This window comes from Homo sapiens, chromosome 18 (assembly GCF_000001405.40).
Source record: "Homo sapiens chromosome 18, GRCh38.p14 Primary Assembly".
NCBI classification, from domain to species: Eukaryota; Metazoa; Chordata; class Mammalia; order Primates; family Hominidae; genus Homo; species Homo sapiens.
The window spans coordinates 73,269,932-73,274,871 of record NC_000018.10 but is presented as its reverse complement, the minus strand read 5'-3'; positions in this window follow the sequence as shown (position 1 = coordinate 73,274,871).

The following is a 4,940-nucleotide window of genomic DNA, read 5'->3' as shown; positions in this document are numbered from 1 at the left end:
TTATTTTTAAAGGTAATCTGAAATCTCAATAACATAGGCAAATAAAATATTTAAAAAGCATATGCATATATTTATCAAGTTCAATGAATAAGTAAAACTTTATTTTTAACATACGAAGATGCACAAATTTTGCTCCCACATTTCTTGATAATAAATAAAGAATAGAGGAGACAAGGGATTCAAGACAAACCGGCCCATCTAAGTGGAATTAGGAAAAAGTAAAAGAAAAAACAAAGGCCGGGCACGGTGGCTCATGCCTGTAATCCCAGCACTTTGGGAGGCCGAGGCGGGCGGATCACGAGCTCAGGAGATCCAGACCATCCTGGCTAACACGGCAAAAGCCGTCTCTACTAAAAATACAAAATATTAGCCAGGCGTGGTGGCAGGCGCCTTCCAGTCCCAGTTACTCGGGAGGCTGAGGCAGGAGAATGGCATGAACTCAGGAGGTGGAGCTTGCAGTGAGCCCAGATCGAGCCACTGCACTCCAGCCTGGGCGACAGAGCAAGACTCCGTCTCAAAAAAAAAAAAAAAAAAGAAAAGAAAAAAAAGGAACACTAATATCCCTAACTTATAAAGGGGTCATAAAGAAGCAGCATTTACAGCTGATGAAAGCCGCATCATTTAGCTTAAAACGAAACTGATGGAGAGAATAAATCTGGTGATGACAATGACGAGTAGAGGGGTGGAGGTGCAGGGAGAGTGAGTCGAATCTGTCGACAGATCATGGGCTGGTGGTGATGAAAAAAATAGTGAAAAAAACTCAGGAAATCGAGTTGGAGGCATTTATAACATGTGCAAAACAAAAACAGAAAAATAATGTGCGACTGGTAGGAGCAGAGCAAGTGACAAATATTAGGACTGGAGACCTTTGCTTTTTATCAAAAATAATCTTTATTATTTTACTTTTAAAGCCATGTAGGTATTATTACATCTACTGGTTATACACTCTAAGTCCATATACTTTAAGTATATGGGAAAATTTTATTACTTTTTCTATCTCTTGCTGGTATAATTCTTAATGTTTCTGTCTACATATTGGAATCAAGTTCTAATATTTTGCTGTTTTTGTTTTGGATTTGATTCCATGCTATGGAATTTTGAATGTTAGGTAGCAAGTTACATATTAACTAGTTTATATGGAATATAGCATTAAGGAAATTAAACTTCCCACATAAAATGCTTTTCTAAAAAAGTTTCTCTCCCTGACATTTACAAATATTTTTTACTGTGAAACTATATTATATTTTTAGAAGTATGTGTAAAATATGTATTGGTGCTTATTCATCAATATTTTAAAAATAAATGGTGGTGTAACCAGCAACCAAATTAAGCAATAAAGCATAGCTAGGGATTTGAATAAGCAATTCTATTTTATTGGCGTGTATTTGATTAGAAACGAGGTTAAGCACATTGTTCTATTATATAATTATTGACCATTTGGACCTCCTCGTCTGATAAAGTCCTTGCACCTTATTCTACTCACGTGAATGCCTTTTTCTTATAAATCCTTGATTTATGTGTACATTCTATAATAGTTGATTATCAGTTATTTAAATATAGATAAATAATAATTTCTTTTCTTTTTCTTTTCTTTCTCCTTTCTTTTTTTTGACGGGGGAGTGGGACAGAGTCTCACTCTGTTGCCAGGCTGGAGTGCAGTGGTGCGAGCTTGGCTCACCGCAACCTCCACCTCCCGGGTTCAAGCCATTCTCCTGCCTCAGCCTCCAGAGTAGCTGGGATTACAGGCACGCACCACCACGCCCAGCTAATTTTTTATTTTTAGTAGAGATGGGGTTTCACCACGTTGGCCAAGATGTTTTCGATCTCCTGACTTTGTGATCCGTCCGCCTTGGCCTCCCAAAGTGCTGAGATTACAGGCGTGAGCCACCACGCCGGCCACTAATAAATATTATAAATCATATATATGTTTGATTCTTTAACATTGAACTAACAGCCAGCACTACTATATAACTCACGCCAGTATCAAGCTTATGGGGCACAGGTATTTTCTCCCTCTGGCACATGGCAGCATGAGAACTCTCGACAACACTTCAGCACTGTGCTTGGAAGTCATGCTGAACTGTGAAATCACCAACTAAAAGTACAAAGTTGTGGAAATCCAGGGACGAAATATGCTGTGAAGAGGATATTTGTTGTGCTGCAGGCTGAGAGCTCAAACAGGAAGGCAGAGCATTCTCTAATTCAACCTCCGCTCAGGACGTGGCATCAGACCCCTCAAAGCCTTCACCGTTCTGCACATGTCCAGGATGATTGTGGAAGAGGCGCCGATATTGTTTGGACTACAAATAAATTTTTGTAAGTAGGTTAAATTCACAGATACTGAGTCCACAAATACTGAGGATCACCTGCACTTTCATAAATGTAAAAGCGCAAATTTGCCCTTCTGTGGGAGATCTGCAACTGAGTAGGAGCTATTTTCTGACTGCTGACATACATAAGTGAGACCAAGTGAAAAATTTTATATAGTAAATACAGTGATATTAATAGGAGATTGTTGTAATGAATACAGGAGTAGAGAAAAAGAACAAATTCTAAAATATGCTGTTATTGTTGTTTAATATGATGAAATTATTATTATTAGCCTTAATTTTCAGAGCATATTATTCTTATTTCCAGACTCAGGTGCACTTATTGTGTGAGGTTTTTTTTTTTTTTCTTTTCCAACTATTCTTTAGTCAAAGAACAGATCTACCTTGATTTTCATTTTACTTTACGTTACTCTTCATATTAATCTCTGTTGTTAAATTACAGTCACCGATGTCCTACTTAAAAATAAAAGAAACCTACTGAATAAAAGTATGCAAACCCACATTATTAGGACTTGTTCCTAACTTCTTCCTGACAGAAGTGATCAAGGCACAGAATTGCCTTATATCAGAGTAGAAATGTGAGAACTAGACAATTATTTTGGTTACCACACAGTCCAAAGTTGACTCTGCACCTTTCCTTCAAGATTTAGGAGCAAAGACGAGCCAAAGAGAAACACAATGGGGAGACATGGGACTTCCCCACAACATTATATTTAAATCAATTGTAATTAGGGAAGTCATCCTTTTATTTCCATTAGCATAAGTAATGAGTTAAAATTGAACAGAAAAATTAATCTCAGAAAATGCACATATGTCTTTTTGTTTTTATTATAAAATTAAGATTGGTGATCAAGGGTGAGAAAATTGTGCCCTAGTCTAGACTGTTGTTTGCTAGAAGATTTATTTATTTTCACTATTGATTTATGGATTCAACAACGATGTATTAAGTCCCAACCACTTGGTGGTGTGTATGTATACAATGGAAAAATGTCACTGCCATTATATAGTTCATATTCTGTCTTCCAGAAGATAGCTTGCTGATTGGCTGTAGAGTGAACCTGTGTTTGTTTTCACTGTTTAATTACTGTCCCCAGTCTCTCAAGTCACCAATCCATACGCAAGTCTGTGATGCTCACTCTGTGATGTTGCCAAGCTTTTTTCAAGTAATCGCAGTTACAGACATGACAATGTATATGTTATTTCCTGTGATATTTTTAAAATTAACTGTGCTTGCAGATTATGTACAAACAGAGTAAAATTCAGTATTACACACTGTTTCAGAGATGGTGTTCAGTAATTTAAAAAGTAGTGTTTGCTTATTGTCAAGCTCTCCGGAGCATGACATATATTGAGGAATATAAAGCCTCGTAGCCCTGACGTAAGAGCAGCTGGCAGCATTGCTGCCACAGAAATGAGCACTGAGATATCGCAGCTTTACTACTAAATGATAGTGCAGGCCTCGGGGAGCAAAGAGTTTTTGTTTGTACGAGAAAATTGCTTGGTAGTGACAGAGATTCATTTCAAACCTTTCAGGAAGCTTTGTATGATTTCCCAAGGGATCTCTCCAGGGGTCACAAAAGAATAGGGAAAACAAATCTGGCCCTTCTATTCTTGCCGGAAGGGAGGAAAATTAATATTAGAGAGTTTGAGTTCTATCCATTTCACTCATAAAAACAAGCTCTTACATTGGGAGGCGTTCATTTCGAGACTCTTTCATCTCCACCCACTTCTATTGCACAGTTTCACTGGTGTCACTGGACAATGAATAGTAACTGGGGTCAATCACAATACAAACACATCCCTTTGTATTAATCTTATATAACGGCAATATGTATTTGGTTAACCAAGGGAATCAATGGTGTTTCCAGTACCTACCAGAGTGCCTAGCACCAAATAAACAGTCAAAAAACTTCTGGTATGATTTTAATAACCTTTGAGGCAAGCTAATTAATATGCAGATAGTAATTTAACAGTTGTTTGAAGGAAAAAATATATAAAAAACTGTTGGCAAGGAGATTTACATTCTTCTGGTGAGAAGATAGTATAATAACGCTTCTATGGAAAGGCAATTTGGAAAGTTTTGTTACCATTAAAAATGCAAATGCTAATAATTTGTTCTCAGGGTATTTCTTGCAGCTCTTTTTAAAGCATTAAAAGATTAGGAATTATATAAATATTTAAATACTTAATAAAAAGTATCCGGCGAATTAACATTAATACTTTTGTATAATGGAATACCATGCAGCTGTTAAAAATTATAAGGTAGCTCTGTGCGTATAGTCTCATAGAACTTCCAAGACATACTGACAATTGAACAAGTAAGACACAAAAAATTAAAGTTTGCTATAATTTGTGAAAAAAATGACAAATGTGTGTGTGTGTACACCTTCACACAAATATGTTTAGATTTGTGAACAGATAGAATACTAAGAAACCCAAGAGAGGTTGCCACTGAAAAGATAATTGGTCAAAAGCCACAGAAGAATGTGAGATTTCTGTATAAATTTTGTACCATTGGACTGCATTACTTATTCGAAAATCATTAAATTTTAATTTAAACATTACTGCAAGAACGAAGATGTAAATTGACAGTTCTAATTAATGACATTT